Raw genomic sequence first — 22,572 nt, 5'->3', positions numbered from 1 at the left:
CCCTCCTAGCTAGTCACAATCTGGACACCTCAGCTTTGGGAAAGATAGCTCCTAGAGCTTGTCTTTCCTGTGATTCTAAGTGCCTGTGGTTTGGGTGATACGAGGGCTGCAACTCCTGTTACTGGAACCTGGAAGAAAGATGGTCTATAAGAAGGAAGTCTCTGTGGGAACTCATTTAGAGGTGGACACCCAGTGTTTGTTGTTGTTGTTGTTGTTGTTGTTGTTGTTTTGAGGTGGAGTGTTGCTCTCTCGCCTAGGCTGGAGTGCAGTGGCACAATCTTGGCTCACTGCAACTTCCGCCTCCTGGGTTTAAGCTATTCTCCTGCCTCAGCCTCCCGAGTAGCTTGGATTACAGATGCCCGCCACCAAGTCTGGCTAATTTTTGTATTTTTAGTAGAGATGGGGTTTCACCATCTTGACCAGGCTGGTCTTAAACCCCTGACCTCAACTGATCCGCCTACCTCAGCCTCCCAAAGTGCTGGAATTACAGGCATGAGCGCTATCCTGTCCGGCCTTTGCTGTTTTTTAAGACAGGGTCTCGCTCTGTCACCCAGGCTGGAGTGCAGTGGCATGATCTCAGTTCACTGCAACCACTGGCTTCTGGGTTCAAGCGATTCTGCTGCCTCGGCCTCCTGCGTAGCTGGAATTACAGGTGTGCACCACCACACCTGGGTAATTTGTGTATTTTTAGTAGAGACAGGGTTTCACCATGTTGGCCAGGCTGGTCTTGAACTCCTGACCTCCAGTGATCTGCCCGCCTTGGTCTCCCAAAGTGTTGGGATTACAGGTGTGAGCCTCCACACCTGGCCCCATTGTTGATGAATTCTTAGTACATTGTTTTCTTAAAGCTCATTGTTATAAAACCAAATCAGAGTCCTAAAATCCATGTATTTTTGAATTTTTGTTAAAATATATTTCCCTATATTCAAGACTGGAGTTTTAAAATTTTACTTTATTTAAAGCAGCAAAGTTGTCTAAATATGCTTCTTTCTTTCAGTGGCTGCTGAGAATATATTTTGTAACAGCTGCTTTTTTAGTTCCTTATGTAAAATTAAAATCTGGAGCTAGGTTATGTAGTCAAACATCCTCTTTTTCTATAGCAACCTGAGAAGTGCTCGTCCAAGGTTACAATTAGTGGGAAAGCTTAGACTAGCATCCAAGTCTTCTGACTTGTCAGCTAGTATGTACTATACTATATTCCTCTTTCTAGCAATCTTAAAGCTTCTTAATGTTTTTAATCTAAGTCTCTTAAGATTGGGCATGTTGTATGACATCCCTAAGTCTCAGTTTCCTTATCTGTAGAATCAGAATAATGCTTCACTGTGCTGGAATTAAACGTAAGGATATATAAAGCTGCACAGTGTGTGGAATGTAGTAGTAATAATTGCTCAGTGTGTGTGTTTTGGCTTTTCCTGTTGTCCTACTTGTTTCACAGTTGTGATACCTTTTTGTGATGGTGTTAGTTTTAAAAATGGCACTGTCTTTTGCGATTATTTTAAACTACTTAACTGCACTTACAGAAATTTTAGCTGTACCCTAGGTAACTTTCTGATAAAATTATGTTATTGACCATAAGGTTTAGCAGATATCTAGTCAGGATTTTAAAAGCCTGAGCAATAGAAAGTTACAATGTGATGGTCTGTTCCTGTTTTTAAAAAACTGCCTGTAGTTAATGTTGGAAAATCTGTCTGTCATTAATTGCAGCTCTCCTTTATGAATTGCTGTATGAGAAGGTATTTAAAACTGATGTTAGTAAAATTGTGATGGAACTAGACACGTTGGAAGTAGCTGATGAAGATAACAGTGAAATATCAGATTCAGAGGATGACAGTTGCAAGTAAGAATGAAATCCTAAAATACCTTTCTTAGTGCCATACAAGGAAAGTTAAGTAAATGTCTTTACATTTCAGTAAATGTCTTTCTATAACATATATTGAGGTATTAATGGTATTCATAAAATACAGCAGTCTGCTGAAGTTTCTTTATCCCTGTCACTAATTTTACCTAATTTCTATTATGGGACTGTTTGTTTTGAAAGTTGGTGTTTTTGGTTGATGAGAATTTACGTCTGCAATCTAGATGCATATTTGTAGAATAAATTTGGTCCTACCTATATGTGTGTGTATTGTAAAATTTTAAAGTTAACTTGTCAATTGTTCACATACCCAGTAATGAAATAAAATGGCCGTTTGGATTTCCTTCACTTTCTTTTATTGTTTTCTTTCTTAGGTAGTGCCTCTTTTTAGATAATGAAAGTTCCAAGTTGGGGTTATAAGTATGTGAACACCTGGATAATGCCTCTGTGTAGGTTGTGAGTAAATATGTCTGAACGTAGAATCTCTGAGGCTTAGCTTTCTTTTTCACACAAGACGTACAAGATAGTGTTTAAGAGGTTGGGCTCTGGTTTCAATCATGGCTTCCTGCTAACTTGACTTGGGGCAGGTTACTTAAATTCTCTAAGAAGCCTTAATTCCAATACTCTAAAATTAGGATATAATCAGTATTTCCTCAAAAGGGACAATTCATGAGATTCAATCTGAGATAGCATATAAAGTACATAGCCTAGGTCCTAGATACGGTATCCAGTATATTAGTTATCAGTTATATTAGGATGTTTACTCTGTCTTTTATAAGAACCAAACCTATGGTATTCTTATTGAAGCTAAAAGTATACATTGTTGTATGAGAATATGAAAGGATTGTACTTGGTATGTTACACTCTGTGACACTAGAGATAGAAATGGAACTTAAGGCTTAGGATATCTAATTCTTTATTATAAAAATAACTTTAAAAATATATGTATATCTCTTGATTTGTTTTTTTTTTGTTTTTTTTTGTTTTGTTTTGTTTTGTTTTTGAATCGGAGTCTTGCACTGTTGCTCAGGCTGGAGTGCAGTGGTGCGATCTCGGCTTACTGCAAGCTCTGCCTTCTGGGTTCACGCCATTCTCCTGCCTCAGCCTCCCAAGTAGCTGGGACTACAGGCGCCCGCCACCAAGCCTGGCTAATTTTTTGTACTTTTAGTAGAGATGGGGTTTCACCATGTTAGCCAGGATGGTCTCGATCTCCTGACCTTGTGATCACCCGCCTTGGCCTCCCAAAGTGCTGGGATTACAGGCGTGAGCCACTGCCCAGCCTGTATATCTCTTGATTTGTAATTCCAGGTATTTATTGAATTAAAATTTTCTGATCCTGATTGAAAATTTGGCCACCATTTCTTTCTAACTTGAATCAGTGTCTGCCATTGTAAATTTAATTCTAGAATAGACTGACTTTGCCTAGGTAGAAATTTTGCTTTACGGTTCTCTCTGAGCACCATGTCATTGAGCATGGGGGACATTGGAAGAGAGAATGACTAGCTTGTTACAACTTATTACCTGTGATTGGGGTTGGGGGACTTTTAGAACATGCCCTTTGGTTGCTGTTGCTGTTAATGGTGTTAGAAACAACTGGGTCTTGTATGGCAGTTGGCAGGTGAAGTATAGAGTAGGGGCTAGTAAGCTGGAGAAGTTTACCAGAGAAGGTAGAGCAGGTGTGTAAGAAGATGTGTTCACTATTGTGTTTTTCTTTTTATACTGCACTGTTGTTGTCCTTGGAATGTGGATTACCTTTCTATTGCATTATTAAAATTTCTTTTTTTTTTTTTTTTTTTTTTTGAGACGGAGTTTTGCTCTTGTTGCCCAGGCTGGAGTGCAATCGTGTGATCTTGGCTCACTGCAACCTCCGCCTCGCGGGTTCAAGCGATTTTCCTGCCTCAGCCTCCCGAGTAGCTAGGATTACAGGCATGTGCCACCACGCCTGGCTAATTTTGTATTTTTAGTAGAGATGGGGTTTATATTGGTCAGGCTGGTCTCGAACTCCTGAACTCAGGCGATCCACCCGCCTCGGCCTCCCAAAGTGTTGGGATTACAGGCGTGAGCCTCTGCGGCCTTTTTTGTAAGACCATCAGATCTTGTGAGAACTCACTATCATGAGAACAGCATGGGGGAAACCACCCACATGATTCAATTATCTCCACCTGGTCTTGCCCTTGATACTTGGGGAGTATTACAATTCAAGATGAGATTTTGGGTGGGGACACAAGGCTAAACTATATCAGCCTACATCTCAACACTCATTTTTTGCCTACTTATTTTTTTTTCTTTATAGCAGTTATCAGCATTTAACATACTTATTACTTATTTAGTTTTTATCTGTTGTCACCAGATTGTACATTTCATGTAGGCGGAGTTTTTGTTCTCTTAAATGCTAGACCCTAGCACCTAATAATACAGTCATCCCTTGGTGTTTACCAGGAGATTTGGGACTCTTGAGTATACCACAATCTGCACATATTCAAGTCCTACCACGGGCCCTGTGAATCTGTTTATATGAAAAGCTGGCCCTCTGTATACTTGGGTGTCACATCCCGAGAATACTGTATTTTTGATCTGCTTTTGGTTGAAACAAAAAACCTGTGTGTAAGTGGACCTGCACAGTTCAAACCTATGTTGTTCAAGGGTCAGCTGTGTACACTGCATGGCACATAGTAGACAATCAAGTTATTTATTGAGTATATGAATGTGTAGGTGTGTATGTGACAGTGAATTTAAAGGGCTAATGATGGTGCTTTCATTGTGCTGAACATTATTTGACGTAGAGTATTTTTTTTTTTTTTGAGACGGAGTTTCGCTCTTGCTGCCCAGGCTGGAGTGCAGTGGTGTGATCACAGCTCACTGCAACCTCCGCCTCCCGGGTTCAAGCGATTCTCCTGCCTCAGCCTCCCGAGTAGCTAGGATTACAGCCATGTGCCACTACGCCCAGCTAATTTTGTATTTTTAGTAGAGATGGGGTTTCTCCATGTTGGTCAGGCTGGTCTTGAACTCTCAAACTCAGGTGATCTGCCTGCCTGTGCCTCCCAAAGTCCTGGGATTACAGGCGTGAGCCACCATGGCCGGCTGATGTAGAGTATTTTTAATAAAAGGGTTGTCGAATCTGCCTATGGATACTTTTGTTGTAAATGGATTGTGTTTTTAAACGGGGCCTCATGTGTATATTAAAAGGAAGTTTTTACATTCTTTTGTAAATTCAATTATTCTACCCACCCAAATTTCACAGTTTATGTTTTCTTATTACTGAGCCAGTTAGAATTACTGTTGTCTTTGACTTCTGTCTTATATACACACATTTACATACATATACCCTTTTATATATAGATATACTTGTACCAAAACTTGTATGAGCTCACTGGAATATAGCTCTTTTTGGAGCATAGTTCTGACTTTGAAGACGTTTAGATGAGGTTAGAAGGTAATTACGTGCAAATACCTTTTTCTGCCCCAATTATGGTTATCTTTCTTTGTAGGAGTAAGACTGCTGCTGCTGCTGCTGATGTGAATGGATTTAAACCTTTGTCAGGCAATGAGGTATTTTTTTTAAAAGTGGTTTTAAATGTAGTTCTTTAATATAAGAAAGCATGTACATTAAAATCTTAATTTTTTTCTTTTTTCTGGTACATTTCAGTCAAGTCAGGATCATCTACTCAGAAATTGATTTGGTGGCTTCCTAATTTTTTGAAGTTTCTTTTCTTCATTTGACTTTAGTTTTACGTGTATCTCAAACAAAAATGTTTTAAAAGCACTTATGTGTTGATTGGACTTCCTGACTTTGTTTAGCAGCTGAAGAACAATGGGAACTCTACTAGCCTGCCTTTGTCTAGAAAGGTTCTTAAGTCACTCAATCCTGCAGTCTATAGAAATGTGGAATATGAAATTTGGCTGAAGTCTAAACAAGGTGAGTTAAAAATCTGCATTTTCCATAAATTTGCTTTGTAGCACTTGAAAATAAGTCAACTTTATATTATACTGACCTTTTTTTTTTTAACAGCTCAGCAAAAACGTGATTATTCCATTGCTGCTGGCTTACAATATGAAGTTGGAGACAAATGTCAAGTAAGTGACTTATGTAAAAGAAGAAGAGATTTTACTTGAAACTTTGCTTTTTCTAATACAAACAGAGAAAACAGCTGAGGTGTGAATGTGTTGTTAATTTGGGATTTCAGAATATATTTATCATGTATATACATTTTAATAGTTTACAAGTATTTAGCTTTTTGACTCATTTGAATACGTTGCTAAAATTGTATGTATCTAAAACCGTGGCATCCCATCACATGATCTTTAAAAACAATTCAGCCTTTGGTATTACTTGGTTCAAAGAAGTAATGATAACATTTCAGATATTGAGGTATTTTTGTTAAAATGGACTGAAATTGATTCAAAATTGACTTTATAGGTCATTTAGTTTTGTTTATGAAAATCATCTTGGGAGATGTTGATACGTACACAATATTTACTGTTGGACTGAGGAAAGAAAGTGAGCCACAGAGGAGTTTTTGCCAATTAATTTGAATAAGCAGCTGCCCTGGATTTGAGTAGCTGATTGTTAAAGGAAAAAGTTGGATTAAAATCAGTGTTTCTTAAACTAGTGGTTAACCCTCACTCTGCCCCCCGCCCCCCACCACCACCATTGAACATTCAGCAGTGTCTGGAGACATTTTTTATTCTCACAACTGGGAGGGTGCTACTGACATCTAGTGGGTAGAGGCCAAAGCTGTGGCCAAACATTCTACAATGGACAGGACAGCCTCCCTCATCTCCCTCTAACAAAAAATACCTAGTCCAAAGTGTCAGTAATGCTTAGGCAGAAGAAACCCTAGGTAAGATAATTTACAAGGTCTCTTTTCTTGTTTTTTGTTCTTCATTTGTGGAAAAATACTGCTATTTCAAAAACAAAAACAAAACCCCCACATACACAAAAAATGTTATATGGAAGTTAATTCTCATCAGAAATTATTTCCATCAAAAAGTGTTGCCTTTTAAAAAAACTACTTTAAAACAGCCACTGGCAAACATTTCTTTTTGACTTATGGAGGAAACACTCATTTACTTTATGATAAATTGGTTTATGTGAAGTCATCTGATTAGCCAGGATTTTATTTTAAGAACCTTCAATAGTTCTGGTTCTGGGGTATTTAAAGGTGAGGGAGAAGAGAACATGATTCATTCAGGTACTGCCTTATGGGATTGTCATAAATCTGCTCTAATTGTAGAAGGGAATTGTGGAAGTTTTTACTACATTGATTGGGAAAACTTGAAAGAGAACAAATGAGATTAAATCCAGGGTTTAAAGGTCTCTCTCCCCACCCTTCTCAAAAGAGAAGATGGCTTATGCTGTATCACTAAAGTCGTGTTACTTATTTTAAGTCAAGCATATTTCCTTTGAGGTTGAAACTGCTTTTGGTAAAGTAGGTGCTTTTGATAAAGTAGATGGTAAAGCACATGCTTTCATTTTTTTCCTATTGAGAGTATTTTATTTCTATCTGTACTACTTGACCATTCTTTTGGATAACATCTCATTAAAATTTTAAGAAACTGAGATGACTCTAAGGTGATTTGTTTACTCAAGTGTGTAAGATGTAGTTTAAACTTTTGATAACTAAGTTCAGAAAAGAATTTTTTTATTGTGAAACTTTTGAAGGAAAAATGTCTTTATTGTCATTGATGAAGAATGAAATACCAGCTTGAGGACTTTGATTTACTGCTAAAAGTGGGAGGTTGCTTAAAGCATTGTCCTGTATGTTGTACTTGGCAGGTGCACAATTTCAGTGTGGGCAGTTTATAGGAAGAAAACTTAGGCTTATTTACTCTTTTATCATGGATTTACAACTGCGTAATATTAATTGTATGCTAGAGAACAGTTAATGGATCTATTTTTAGGGATAAAAATCACAGTTGCACATTTTTAATATAGGAAAAATGGGAAGATAATAATTGTAATAATAGTTGCTCTCACTTGTAGAGTGGTTGCTGTGTGCAAGTTGGTATTCTTTATGTGTATCCTGTGCACCCTCATTCCATCTCCATGAGTTCTGTGACGTAGGTACTATTATTAGCTCCATTTTGCATTATGAGGAAACTGAAGGGAGAGAAAAATAACTTGCCCAAGGTCATATTGCTGGCAAGTGGAAGAGCCAGACCTGGAAGCCTGGGGTATGTGGGGCCACAGCCCTGCCTTCAGAACCAGGACCTGCTGCCTGTTTTGTTTAGAGCCTTAACATATTGTGCTCCTACTTTTTGAACAATTTAGAAAATAAGTGTTAGAAAAAAATTTAGAAGGACAAAGAAGAAAAGGTTTTCTTTCTTTTAGGTAGGAGATATGGAGGTCTGGGAGGTTAAGGAGATGGATTTGATTGTAGACCTATTTGAACTTATTTTGTTTTTACTGATAAACTTTATTTTCTGTTTAATTAAAGACTAAATTTTAAAAGCTGGGTGTGGTGGCTCACGCCTGTAATCCCAGCACTTCGGGAGGCCTAGGCGGGTGGATCACTTGAGGTCAGGAGTTTGAGACCAGGCTGGCCAACACGGTGAAACCCTGTCTCTACTAAAAATACAAAAAAAAGAAAAAAAAAAAAAGCCGAGTGTGGTGTCACACACCTGTGATCCCAGCTACTTGGGAGGCTAAGGTAGGAGAATCCCAGGCTTGAACCAGGGAGGTGGAGGTTGCAGTGAGCCAAGATTGTGCCTCTGCACTTCAGCCTGGGTGACAGAGTGAGACCCTGTCTCAAGAAAAAAAAAAAAAGAACCGCAAAAAACTGATAAGTAATGCAAAGGAAGCAGGTGACTGATTTTTTTTTTCCTTTTCATTTTTGGAATTTTTAACAGGTTAGGTTGGATCACAATGGAAAATTTTTGAATGCAGATGTTCAAGGAATTCATTCTGAGAATGGACCAGTTTTGGTTGAAGAACTGGGAAAGAAGTATGTACTACTCTTCAGCTAAGGCATTTACTGCCTCCTCCATTTAGCCTAATCATGAGCATTTTAAAATGGCCTTCAGTATTTGCAAATTCAATGAAAGATAATTGCCCATGTATAGAAAGTATATTTGGGCCAGGGACGGTGGCTCATGCCTGTAATCCTAGCACTTTGGGAGGCCGAGATGGGTGGATCATGAGGTCAGGAGATCAAGATCATCCTGGCCAACATAGTGAAACCCCATCTCTACTGAAAATATAAAAATTAGCTGGACATGGCAGCGCATGCCTGTAAATTCCAGCTACTCAAGAGGCTGAGGGAGGAGAATCGCTTGAATCAGGGAGGCAGAGGTTGCAGTGAGCCACTGCACTCCAGCCTGGCGACAGAGCTAGACTTCGTCTTAAAAAAACAAAAAGAAAGTATATTTGTTCCGACCTCTAGAAAAGCACTAAATGTGCAAATTTAGTATTTTGCACATTGTCAAACTTTAAATGAAGATTATTTGTTTTGTTGCTTACTGTTTAAAATGTACCATTGTGCACAAAGGCAGTTCAAGAAATTGACTAGATCGTAATATGGGAACTTTGGAGGGATTCATTTTAAATTCATTCAGTACTGCATTGCATGTAGTTAGTATTCAGTCAGTGTTTGTCAGATGGAGTAGCAAAATATTGTTGGCTTACCTTATACAGTGTTATTTTAGAGCATCTTTGTTTCAGTTGCCGCTGGGCTTTATTAGAGAAAAAGGTAGTAAGTCACACCTTAAACTTTACTGTGGAAAAATTTAAACATATACAAATTAAGAATAGATCCCCATTATAACCAGCAGCACAATTTTTGAATCCCAATATAACTCAACACCCATTTTTAGCAACTAACAGCGTTTGGCAAATTTTTTTCATTTTTTTTGAGATGGAGTCTTGCCCTGTCACCCAGGCTATAGTGCAATGGCGCAATTTTGGCTCACTGCAACCTCCGCTTCCCGGGTTCAAGTGATTCTCCTGCCTCAGCCTCCCCAGTAGCTGAGATTACAGGCATGTGTCACTACGCCCGGCTAATTTTTTCTGTTTTTAGTAGAGATGGGGTTTGACCATGTTGGTCAGGCTGGTCTTGAACCCCTGACCTTGTGATCTGCCCACCTCAGCCTCCCTAAGTGCTGGGATTACAGGCATGAGCCACTGCACCTGGCCTTGGCAATATTTTCTATTCTATTTTCCCTAATATGTTTTTAAAAAATGAAAATGAAATTGGCATATTTTGAAGGAATCCAAACATCACACCATTTCTCCAGTAGATGTTTATATGTTTCTCTAACAGAACAAAGACTTCCTTCCCCACCTTAACTACAGTACCATTATCCTAACAGAATAAGTCATTCTGTATTTATTTAACTTTTGCTTAGATTGTGATTCAACTGTCTTTTTTTAAAATTAGAAAATATGCTTTTGATTTATATCATTTTTTTTTATTAGAATTACATCTGGATTGGTAAATGCAATTTGTACCTTAATTGTAATTTGTTTTTAATGTAAGAAATAAAACTAGAAATTCTTATATAAGCTGAAAATAAATATGCAGAATATTTAACTATTCTTACTAGGGTATTTTAAGCTATCACAAGTCTTTTCCCCTTTGAAGGCACACATCAAAGAACCTCAAGGCACCTCCCCCAGAAAGCTGGAACACAGTGTCAGGGAAGAAGATGAAAAAACCTTCCACTTCTGGACAAAATTTCCATTCTGGTAGGAGCACATCAAGCTATCATTCCTTTGGGATTGGGATGATGGTACTTGGGATTGTTTATAATATGAATATTATCATGTACTTTTGGGTTCTTACAACAGATGTGGATTACAGAGGGCCAAAGAATCCAAGCAAGCCAATAAAAGCCCCATCAGCACTACCTCCTCGACTGCAGCATCCTTCAGGAGTAAGACAACATGCGTTCTCTAGTCATTCTTCAGGGTCACAGTCTCAGAAATTCTCCAGTGAGCACAAAAATCTTAGCCGGACACCTTCACAGATCATAAGGTAACCTTCTTGAATGTAAGAGAAGTATAGAAATCAAGTAAGAGGCATTTGTTATATTTGCCACATTATGTGCATTTGAATAATTATAACTTTTTACTCATATCATTGTCCCTATATTAGTATTAAGAGCATTTTGTATAAAACTTCATGTGAGGATCTCAATTCTTTATAATTCTCTTCAAAGCAAGGAAGTATATATAGAGAGACCTTTATTTTTTAGTAATTTTTTCAAATGGTTTGGGAGATCTTATTCTAGCCCAATTCTATTCTGGCACTTAATTATTTTCTGGTGGCTTGTAATATGGTAAATACTGGATTCCAGATTGCATTCCTATTTCCTTGGGAGGTGAGGATACTCCCATTTGTACAAGAACTTAAAACAGCCCAAAATTATTGGTTTACTTTGATCTGATAAGTTTTGATTGTGGTGATGTCTCTTAATACCGAATGGGGCTACAATTTTAGGTCTGTGAAATTATAAATATCAGCATTCTGACTAAGTATCCAGAGGCAGATGAACTTTTAGGATCATAATTTTCCTGTGCTATATGGATTTTAATTTTTCCCTAGTCTTCACTTTCTGTTCAGTAATTTTATAGCCCTTTGGAAGAGCTTTATTTGAGAGGCTGTGTCTTATGTTGAAACTGTCTTCATCGTGCAAATATGACCGTGTTTCCTGTGGAGTCTTCATAGGTGACTATGACAAGTACCTTTCCCATCAAAGCACCTTCTCAATTGCCCGAAGAGCTGTAGCATCAGCTTATGTGTTTGCTAACCCTCTGGTCTTTAGTTCCATTATTTCTGGCATTTGGGTGTTCCTTTTTTTGTGAATGCACTTAACATTTTGTCACTGAAGATGTATAGGCTGGTGTGAAGGTCGTGAGTTATCTCAGTTGATTGTTCACAGTCAGTTACAGATCAAACTCCTTGTTCTACTCTTTCACCCCTTCTCACTACTGTAGTTGGCTAGTCTTAAAAAGAAAGGAAAGAAAAAAATATGTTTTATGTAGCGTCTTCAAGACAGAATTATAGCTTCTTAAGCTGACATTTATCAATACTATTTTAGTTTCTTGGGGCTGTTGTAACAAAATACCATAAACTGGTCAGCTTAAAACAACAGAAATTTATTTTTTCACACTTCGGGTTGCTAGAAGTCTGAAATCAAGTTGTTGCCAGGGCCATGCTGTCTCCGAAGGCTCTAGGGGAGAATCCGTTCCATGCTTGCCTCCTACTTCTGGAGTTGACTGCAGTCCTTGAGGTTCCTTGGCTTGTAGGTGCATCACTCCATTCTTTGCTTCCATCATCACATGGTGTTCTCCCCATGTGTCTGTGTCTGTCTCTTCTTGTAAGGGCATTAGTCATACTGGGTTTAGGTCCTACCCTATTCAGTATGACCTCACCTTAACTTGATTACATCTGAGAAGACCCTATTTCTAAATAAGGTCATGTGCACAGGTACTAGAGATTAGGAATATGAACATATCTTTTTGAGAAATACACTTCAATCCATAACAAATACTAATGATTCTAATCCGTTATATTACCTCTCCCAAACAGACAGAATTTATGCCACTAATCAACTAGTTATGGCTGAAGTTTGTTGTTTGGACATTGACCAAACTCCAGTAGCCCCTGGTGGTAGCTTACTCAATGCACGAAAAGTATCTAAGATATTAACTTACTTTGAATGTTAACTTTGGAAACCTAAAAATATAAAGTAACTATAGGAAGGTTATAGGCAGAAAGTAATTGTTTAATATTCCCATTTTTTGACAGAAAAAGCAATATTCTTTTTCCTTGAACACAAGTGTACTCTTTAGTGATTTAAAGATTAATAAAGAAAATACACATAGACTACTAAATGGTTAATTTAAATAAACTTGTTTATTATAAACTGAATTTATAATCCAGTGTGTTTCTGGTGTTGACTCTGATCGCCTATGAATTGGTATAGTGCTCAGATAGATGTCTTGTACCAGTAATACTTTTAATCAACAGTTTTTTTTTTTTTTTGAGACGGAGTTTCACTCTTGTTGCCCAGGCTGGAGTGCAGTGGCGCGATCTTGGCTCACTGCATCCTCCATCTCCCAGGTTCAAGCGATTCCCATGCCTCAGCCTCCCAAGTAGCTGGGATTATAGGCATGCACCACCATGCCTGGCTAATTTTGTATTTTAATTAAAGACGGGGTCTTACCATGTTGGTCAGGCTGGTCTCGAACTCCTGACCTTAGGTGATTAGCCCACCTCTGCCTTGCAAAGTGCTGGGATTACAGGCGTGAGCCACCGCACCCGGCCTCTAATCAACAGTGTTTTCAATACTATGGTATAGAGAAGCATATCTTATTAGGATCCTTTTTTATGTGTTAGCTATATGTGTTACTTGGTATGTAAAAATACTTGATGGTGTGTGACAAGGCAGTGGTAATTAATACCATAGACATGAAACTTTAGAGATTTTTTGACATTGTGACTAATTACATTAGAACCTAGTGGTATTTGCAGTTTGTCATTAGGTTAGTATGCCTTCTCCATTGTGTGTGTGAGTGAATTTTACTAATGTATTAAAACATTTAAAAACTTTATTGAATATTTAAAGTAAGATTACAAAATCTAGTCAGATTTTAGAATTTTATAGCTAACAATCTAATTGATTTAAGCCCAGTACAGTTCATCTTCACTGTATTTCTAATCTGTAACACATCACTTTTGAATTTCTTCTAGTTATAGAGCAAAAGAGAACCGTAGTGCTGGATATGAGACCTTCTTGGCCTCTCACTTTTTCCAGTTTTTCTTCATTGATAATTGTCTCTTCCTGTGGAGAAAACACAGAATATAACCAAAAACCAAGCAAGATTGCCATATATGCTTTTGTTAATGTGGCTATCCAGGAAATACTGTGGCTGAATATCTGTCTTCAAGCTAGATGAAAATAGGTAGTAGTAGCTTCTCTCTGTGTGGTAGGTGAGGATGAGATGAAGGCCATATAGTAGTGGTCATTTTTTTTGGATGATAGGAGATGGTGATAAGGTAGTGCTAATTTTCCAGAGACTCCTGACAGTTGCTGAGTCCTCTTCAAAATTTTTTACCACTGGGATTTGGGAAGGATTGGTCTAAAATTTTGAGAGTCCAGATTTTCTATCCCTCCCTTTTTTCATCGATACCATTAGGGCTGACATCTGTCCTATTGTAATTAGAGTGTGATTATAAATGGGACTGTGTAAGGACATGAAATGGCTATTTATTTCAGAGGTTAAAAAAAAATCAGATAACATCATAGTGCTCTACTCGAGGAGGATAATATTTCTTTGTACTGTGACAAAGTATTTTTTTTAGAGGTTTTTAGATTTTCATGTTCCATTTTGAAGAACTGTTAGACATGATGGAAATAGTATTCATACTGCTTTTGATAGTTATAAGCCATATAACACATTAGGGTTGGATTATAGGGTACTAAACTCTATTCATTAATTTCTTGTCATCCTTTTTTGACCAAAATTATGTTGAAATGACAGCAGTCTTATCTATGCAATTGGTATCCAGCCTGACATGTTTTAGTTTTTCTTTTTCAGCTTTGTGTCTCCCTTGGTGGTGTCATAAACAAGTGGGAAGATGGTCCTAGTGTCTCATTGGACCATTGGACCATTCCCCTTTACTTAGAACAGAAAGTGAGAATGCTTTTGAGACCTAAACTAATAACTTTCCCTTTGAGAATTAATTCTTAATGAAAATATTGGAATATGGTATAACAAGTATATACAGTGCTCACTCATTTTTGTATCATTTGGAAATAAGTTTTTTTTTCTTTTCCCCTCTACCTCCCATTGCTGTTTGTCTTCTTGACTCTCTGTAAGGTAGGCTAATGCTACAGGAGCTTCCATTTGCTTAAACATTCATTAACCAGACTGCCAAATGTTCTAAAATGTCAGTGTAGCTAAATTAGTAAAATGTTTGTGTTGCAAAATAGATCATTTTATTTTAGGTACTCAGTACAGTTTTGTGTTTTTTTTTTTTGACAAGAATGTTTTATTTATTTATTTATTTATTTATTTATGTATTTTCTGACAAGAATGTTTTATTTGACAGAAAACCTGATCGTGAAAGAGTTGAGGATTTTGATCACACAAGTCGAGAATCTAACTATTTCGGCCTTTCCCCAGAAGAGCGCAGAGAGAAGCAAGCTATAGAAGAATCCCGTTTACTCTATGAGATTCAGAACAGAGATGAACAGGCTTTCCCAGCCCTTTCCGTATGTATGAAAAGACAGTTTAAAAGTCATTATACAGAAGTTTCTCTTAATATAGTTTTTAGATTAAGCCATAGTTCCCAAGGGTAAACTAATAATTTTTAAACTCTAAATACTTTAAAGATCACATTTTTCACATTTTTCCTATTTTTCCTTTTCACATATTTAGTAATATCTCTAGACCTAGAGATATTACTAAAAGGTTGATGATAGAGTTGAGGCAAGTAAACTGGTTTGTTCACTTGTAGTGTTTCGTGTTTTCTTTTGAACTAAAATGTGTTTAATTTGTTAGCAAAAGTACTGTGTAGTAGAGGTTCATGATTTAGTTAATCCATTACAAGATCTATGTGTAAAATCAGGAAGCCCTTTTGAGAGCTGTCTTTCAGGGTGTTTGCTGTTGGAGGTGGTAGCACATGTCATCCTGTGGCTTTGTCCTTTCTCCATGTGTCAGGCACTGGGCTGTGATGGATGCTTCTCTGATAAAAGAAGTGTTCTCTATCTTCAGGTTTCTTAATTCTTTTTGGGAAGTCAGAAGGGAAAACTGTTCTCATGTAGAATGAAGTATGTGCTCTGTGAGGTGGGTTTGTTGGCAGCACAGAGGAGGGGTACCTAATTCATTCTCATGTCTGGGAGCCTGTGCCTGTGGTCTTTTACATCTTGGTAAGTAGTACCCAAATGACCTATGATCCAGAATGGTGGTTGGACACTTTCTCTCTTTAGAGTAGATTAAATAAATAATGGACTGTTACGGGAGGTTACCCAGTATACCAGTATAAAACATTAAAGCCCCACACACTCAGGTGTGTCTTCTGGTCTCTGTGGACTTCCTTAGAGGCTTGAGGAGGAGCTCAGTTGAAAACAGGTGATCTGGAATAGCAGTTTAATCTGGCACAGGCATTGGAGTTTAGGAATTATTGGAAGAAGTGCCGAATCCATTTAGGAATAATTGAAGTGCCCAAATCCGTACATAAATAAGCATTGTTTATGTGCAAAGTACATTTATCTCTCATGTCATGTGTTATTATATAAATAACAACTACAAATTGTTTAAGCTTGTATTCATACCATTATGCATTTTTCAGTTAGTGAATTGTAAATGTACAACTACTGTAATGTGGGTACAGATGGTGAAATTTCTTTCTTATTAAGAATGGGGTCCTTCATACTCATCATTTTAGACTAAGGAGTTTGATACTGATTGCTTTTGATAGTGGCTCAGATTTGTTTTCTAGAAAACTGTTAGAGAGGGCTGAGATCCTCCTCTTAGCTGTGTGGAACATTTATTTAGAATGCCAAAACAGGAACCTAGAACCCTCAGTGATAATTTAGCTTAAAAACCTCACTTATTTCAGTCCCTTATCTCATGCAGAGTTTAAGTGATTTGCTGACAGTAAGCATTTCAGTGATAAGAATCCTAGTGCACTGTATTTGCTAATTTGCACTTAGGTTCTCCCCAACTCCCCACCAAAAAATATGGCGCTACAATGATTTTTTTGGAAGGTTGGCACAGAAGATGTTGTTTTTTTTGAAAGAAAAATTGTAGGGTAAAGGTTTGTTCAGGGTGGCTTCCTGAAATAGGGATATGAAGATTAAGTCTACTAATCTAAGTTGAAATCTGATTGCTTAATCCTTTCAACTTAGCGATAAGACTATTATTCTAGGGTGTATAATTAATTATGGACCCTAGATTCTATCTTCTTTAGTTTCAGTTAAAAATACAGGGCTGTGAATTTTAAGATTTTAGAAGTATGAAGAGTGAGATTAATTACAGAATTTGTTCATGTATCTGTGGGTAAATCTTTAACACAAAATGTTGGGTTTTGTTCATTTTAAAGAGCTCATCAGTCAATCAGTCAGCTTCTCAGAGTAGCAATCCATGTGTCCAGAGAAAATCATCACATGTAGGTGATAGAAAAGGAAGCAGGCGGAGAATGGATACAGAAGAACGAAAAGACAAAGGTAAGTTATCTCATCATTAGAAAGCAGATGCTAGAGATCTCTTTAGATGACTGGCTTAATGTCATATATTTGGGAAAGAACCCTTTTTAAGTTGTTAAGTAGTTTATCTAATGTCACATATTTTGAATGTTGCAGAGAAGTATTGACTCAAGCTAAAGGATGTTAAGTGCTATTCTAAAAACTACATTTTCACTGACTAAACATGGTTCAAATAATACTTTTGGCTTCTTCTATCTTCGTATTTTGTTCTTCTGTGTTCAGACATGACTGGTGGCTTATGCTGTCTTTTTTAATCTTGATCTGCTATAGACTCTATTCATGGACATAGTCAGTTGGATAAAAGACCCGAACCAAGCACATTGGAGGTAAAAGTTTTAAACACTACTTGCATCTTTTCTTTTTCCTTAATACTGTGTAGTACAGTAGGAAGAAGTGGAAGAAGGTGAAAATAATTTCGAAATTTTATAGCTGTGTATTAGGAAAGTAGAAAAGCAGGGAAAAGATGATGGGGATTGAGAAGTCACTCACAAATTATGACAGTTTCTTCAAGGTACATTAGGGTGCCCTGCCTGAATTGTTAGAAAGTAGCCTTTATTCTCTGTCCCTCTAGAGTGATGTTTTTAAAGGAGAAGAGTATAATGTTTGAAGCCTTGCCTCCAGTGAAAACTGCCCAGTAGTTTGATGTAATAAAGATGTTCAGGCAAAGTTAGCCTACCTGTTGAAAATAACATATAATTGGAAAAAATACTCAGTGGTGAGAGGGTTCTGTCAGATACAGGTAGGGTGAATTATAAAAGGAAACCATCAATATTCCAGAATGTGGGTCTCTGAAATACAAAACTTTGCTTCTTTTTTGCTTCCAAAGAATATTACTGATGATAAATATGCAACAGTTTCATCACCATCAAAGTCAAAGAAGTTAGAGTGCCCTTCTCCTGCGGAACAAGTAAGTATATTGTTGCATTTAACATTGAATGCTCCACTCTCTGGGTTTCTGTGCTCTGTGTATAGGGTCATTTAAAAACAGAAAACATCAGTATGGGAAATGGGAGAATTTTTTCTGGCATCACAGTTTGGCTGTGGTTATGATTTTTAAATGTATTCTGATGTTAGTCTAGAATGTTCTCTATTTATGGAATGTTATAGAAATAACCACCATTTTCTGGTGATTGAGACCATTTTTTTGAATTGACTTTGAATATATTTATATTTGTTATCGTTATATTTGATACTTTGTATTACTTTGGTAGATTTCCTTGAAAATTAGATTTTTGAAGGGAAACTGAATTTCTACTTTATTTCAAAATTTAAAAGAGTTATCTGCATCAGTTATTTCACAGATGGGAGGGAATGTACTGATTGAAAAGGTTTGAAAAATATACATTAAAAAAATACCAATTTACAAATTTCATGATGAACCTGTGTTCTAGCAGACATTTTAGTTCTTGACTAATACAAGAGTAGAGAAAGTTAAATGTTAAATGCCTTTCAACCAACATTCTTCATATTGGTAAGAAAGCATATAGTTACATGAGGAGTTTTTCTAAATAATCATGAATTTCAAGATTTCAATGATTTTGCTCACTTGCCTTAAAAGTATTGTGTTGTATTTAACTCTGCTAGTGGATAGGTGCGGTGGCTCACGCCTGTAATTCCAGCACCTTGGGATGCCAAGGCGGGCAGATCGCTTGAGCCCAAGAGTTTTGAGACTAGCCTGGGCAACAGGGTGAAACCCTGTCTGTATTAAAAAATACAGTCCTTGTTGGTAGGCAACCCTTGGTTAGGATCAAATTTGTTTGCATATTATCTTTAGCTACTGTGTGTTTTTCTTACATTTCTAAGACTATAAGGGCTATTTGTACTTCATTTGTATAAAAGGCAGGCAACTCAATATGTATCTGGTGGTTAGAAATAGTGTTAAAGCAAAATGACCTCTTGTCTTTTTCTGTCTTCCCCCACTCACCCCTTTCTTGAAGAAGCCAGCAGAACATGTGTCTTTGTCAAATCCAGCTCCCCTTCTAGTTTCTCCAGAGGTACATCTAACTCCTGCGGTGCCTTCTTTACCAGCCACTGTGCCAGCCTGGCCAAGTGAACCTACAACTTTTGGACCAACAGGTTAGAGAAGGGTTTAGAAAATCTAGCCAGCCAAAATACCTTTCTAGTCAGAGACTTCAAATTCTTGAGTGGAAGTTTGACCTCTGAGCAGGATTAGGTGTGTGGAGCCTCACAGAGCTTTCTGTGATACTCTGCTTTGCTCTGCTTCCAATGTGGAAAGACCATGTACATTTGGTGTTGTATTCATCTGACATATGCCCTCATAGTCTCAGGAGCATGATGTTTGAGCTGGTTGCTTTGGTTGCTCAGCACTAATTAGCACCACGGTTTGATGCTTCCTTCATGGGCCAGCTCTTTATGGCCCCGTAATGAACCCCTTGACCAGCCCCATGTCCTACACGTGCCTGCAAGAGCTACTATTAGAAGACATTGACTCAGAGCTTGTATCCTGGACGTATTTCCTTCTTGGTGTCCAGGAGGGCTCTTGGTTGATACTAAAAGGTACTACTTTAGATTGGCTTTATCAGTTATACAGCATTCTTTATAGGTTAATGTAAGCATATTTGTAGAGATTTTCATCTTTTGTCATTTTGATTCCTTTTCTTCTCTTTTGTAGGTGTCCCTGCTCCAATTCCCGTTTTGTCAGTGACACAGACTTTGACCACTGGACCTGATTCAGCTGTATCCCAAGCTCATTTAACACCCTCTCCAGTTCCTGTGTCAATACAGGCAGTTAACCAGCCCTTGATGCCTTTGCCTCAGACATTGAGCCTTTATCAAGACCCACTCTATCCTGGGTTTCCTTGTAATGAAAAGGGAGATCGAGCCATTGTACCACCTTATTCACTGTGTCAGACTGGGGAGGACCTACCTAAAGGTGAGCTCCTTCTCCAAGTTCAAATCGACTTTATCAAGTCCAAATAAGCTTAGTTAAGAAATGAAGAGATGTAAGTAGAGGTCAGAGGTCTGGTTTCTTAGTAAGCTCAAGGATGGGAAGGACAGCAAAGTTTTAGCTATTAGTCAGTCATTCTTGTTTCAGCTTGATTTATTAGAAAATGTATTATAATTTTTTTTTTTTTTTTTTTTTGAGACGGAGTCTCGCTCTGTCACCCGGGCTGGAGTGCAGTGGTGTGATCTCGGCTCACTGCAACCTCCACCTCCCAGATTCAAACAATTCTCCCACTTCAGCATCCTGAGTAGCTGGGATGACTACAGGCACATGCCACCAGGCCTGGCTAATTTTTTGTATTTTTTAGTAGAGACGGGGTTTCACCGTGTTAGCCAGGATGGTCTCGATCTCCCGACCTCGTAATCTGCGTGCCTTGGCCTCCCGAAGTGCTGGGTTTACAGGTGTGAGCCACCGCGCCTGGCCCAGAAAATTTTTTTTTGTTTCTAGCATACTTGTTAATGCTAGTATGCTTAGTAATGATACCTCCTTCTGTGTTTTTACATAAATGGACTTGAAACCATTCTGAATTACAATAATAATTTCACTAATTAGATACCTAAACACTGTGGAGCTTTATCAACACTGGTCTGCATTTCAGACATGCATCCGTGAAAAAGTTACAGAGAAAAGCAAATATAGTATGTAGTGGCTGTTAAAGTACTATATTTAGTATGTCTTATTTTTGTTTAAAAAATTCTTTCAAAGTTTGCTTTCCCTCTTTATTTTTAAGGAATTTACACCTCCCTCCTTTTTAGTTTCCAAAATTTTATATCTGTAAATTTGAGTAATGCACTGACTACTATATGCTGTTTACCTGGATTTATGTGGATGTTTTTGTTTTATTAGTTAGTAGTTTGATGTTTGTGTCTATGAGTAACTGGCTCATGGCATATGAATACTTGGAAGAATATTATCCTGCAAATGATGCTACTAATAAGTTAGGTTTTATGTTGATTTTACCATTCTTCTCAACATTTTTATTTCCTAATTTTTAAACCCCCAGAAAAGTTGAGAAAGAAAGCCACCTGAATGTCCTTTACCCAGATTCAGTTTTAATGAGATAAAAATTTCAATCTAAGCCATTTTGGGATTTATATGCTAACAGACAAAGCCTATTGAATCTGGAATTAACCTTTGGGAACAACCTGTTTTTGGGTTGTGTTATATTACAGTTTTTATCTATGTTTTGTATCACAGGCTAGAGAAGACAATTATAGTAGGTAAAATTGTCTTTAGAACTATATATTTAATGAGGATGATTTAAAAAAATCTCTGCAGATATATAATTTTAACAAGTGATTACTTTTATTTTTAGATAAGAATATTCTTCGATTCTTCTTCAATCTTGGTGTGAAGGTATTTACATTTTATCATCTTAAAAGTTATTTTATTCATTAATAGTGTTTTAAATTATTACTAGTGTTAACTCTTACCCTGTCAGTCAGTAACCTAAAGTTTACTAAATCTCATCATTTTAAAAACCAGCATTTTCAGTACTATATCGTTTGTTTTTGGTGCTAGTAGAGGCTCCAGTTTTACTTACTTTTTTGTCTTAACTGGTGATGGCTTAACCTGTGAGTATATTTAAGACATAGCTGCATCTTTGGGCAGCCTAGTGGAAATGCCCTTGCTGGGGAATAATTAGATGTAAATCTGGGCTTGAAGTTCTGCTCCATCACTCTTTAGCTGAATTTCCCTGGGCAAGCCATGTAGTGTATCTGGGCCTAGCTTTTTTCATTTATAGAATGGGGGTAATATTCTTTACTTGCCTCCATTATTGAAAAGATCAAAGGAAATAACGTGTACATCCTCCTATGTAAGATAGTGTGGTTGTTGACTAGAAGAGCAGAGGTATCCTTTGGGAAGTGGTCAACCTAGAAATAGCTTTTCTTAGGTTGGAGAACTCTGTCCTTGTTAAATGTTAGGTTTTCTCCTGACCTAGATTAGTTTTTGTGGGTTCTAGACAGTTAAACTATGAAACGAAGTGCCCTACCTTTAGCCTGCTGACCACTTTCATAAAAAGAAACTTGATTATTTTACTATCTGCTGCATTGCTTAATTTTAATGTATTTAATGTTGATTTTAATTGGTTAGCCAATTAGCTGGTTATACTTTCTTCATATTTTGGTTTTTAGCTGAACTCTTGCAGAGGAAGGATTTGGAATATTTCATTTTCAACATTATCCCTCCCTGATTAGAGGTCTAACTTAATCCTTACATTCGGAGTACTCTTGGGGGCTCCTAGAATTGCAGAGTCCTGACATTGGAGATCATCTACTCTTATACTGACATTCCCAGTAAAACAAATTCAGATGTTAACTGGCCTGCATGGGGTCACACAGTGAGTTAGTGGTAGAGCCCGAATGTGAATGCAGGTCTGGCTAAACAGTCAGTGATGGAGATACTATCTCCTATCAACCTATGAGGACTTCAGATTGGTTTTAGGACAGGAGCAAGCAATGGAGTCTTAAAGCAGTGAATTTTGTAATTCATTTTCACGTTGGTTATCACAGTGATTTAGTATTTGGACTATAGATTA

General features: G+C 37.4%; 1 protein-coding gene across 8 annotated transcripts in view; it reads left to right on the top strand.

Moving 5' to 3' along the window:
• The window catches only part of OTUD4 (OTU deubiquitinase 4), a 46,940-nt gene that overhangs the window by 19,250 nt on the left and 5,118 nt on the right, over positions 1 to 22,572 (top strand). For 4 of the 8 annotated variants that reach the window (NM_001366057.1, XM_011532040.3, NM_001102653.1 and 1 more), the window contains exons 7-20: positions 1,705 to 1,837; positions 5,344 to 5,404; positions 5,654 to 5,771; positions 5,865 to 5,929; positions 8,705 to 8,799; positions 10,435 to 10,538; positions 10,641 to 10,827; positions 14,911 to 15,073; positions 16,906 to 17,029; positions 17,339 to 17,394; positions 17,895 to 17,975; positions 19,006 to 19,144; positions 19,701 to 19,961; positions 21,349 to 21,389. In NM_001366057.1, the coding sequence (NP_001352986.1) occupies positions 1,705 to 1,837; positions 5,344 to 5,404; positions 5,654 to 5,771; positions 5,865 to 5,929; positions 8,705 to 8,799; positions 10,435 to 10,538; positions 10,641 to 10,827; positions 14,911 to 15,073; positions 16,906 to 17,029; positions 17,339 to 17,394; positions 17,895 to 17,975; positions 19,006 to 19,144; positions 19,701 to 19,961; positions 21,349 to 21,389 (1,628 nt within the window). Of the gene's footprint in view, positions 1 to 1,704; positions 2,204 to 5,343; positions 5,405 to 5,653; positions 5,772 to 5,864; positions 5,930 to 8,704; positions 8,800 to 10,434; positions 10,539 to 10,640; positions 10,828 to 14,910; positions 15,074 to 16,905; positions 17,030 to 17,338; positions 17,395 to 17,894; positions 17,976 to 19,005; positions 19,145 to 19,700; positions 19,962 to 21,348; positions 21,390 to 22,572 lie in introns of those variants that run through there. The other 4 variants (XM_047415838.1, XM_011532041.3, NM_001366058.1 and 1 more) reach the window with 2 other exon arrangements.

This window comes from Homo sapiens, chromosome 4 (assembly GCF_000001405.40).
Source record: "Homo sapiens chromosome 4, GRCh38.p14 Primary Assembly".
Taxonomy (NCBI): domain Eukaryota; kingdom Metazoa; phylum Chordata; class Mammalia; order Primates; family Hominidae; genus Homo; species Homo sapiens.
This window is presented reverse-complemented; position numbering and strand designations above follow the sequence as displayed.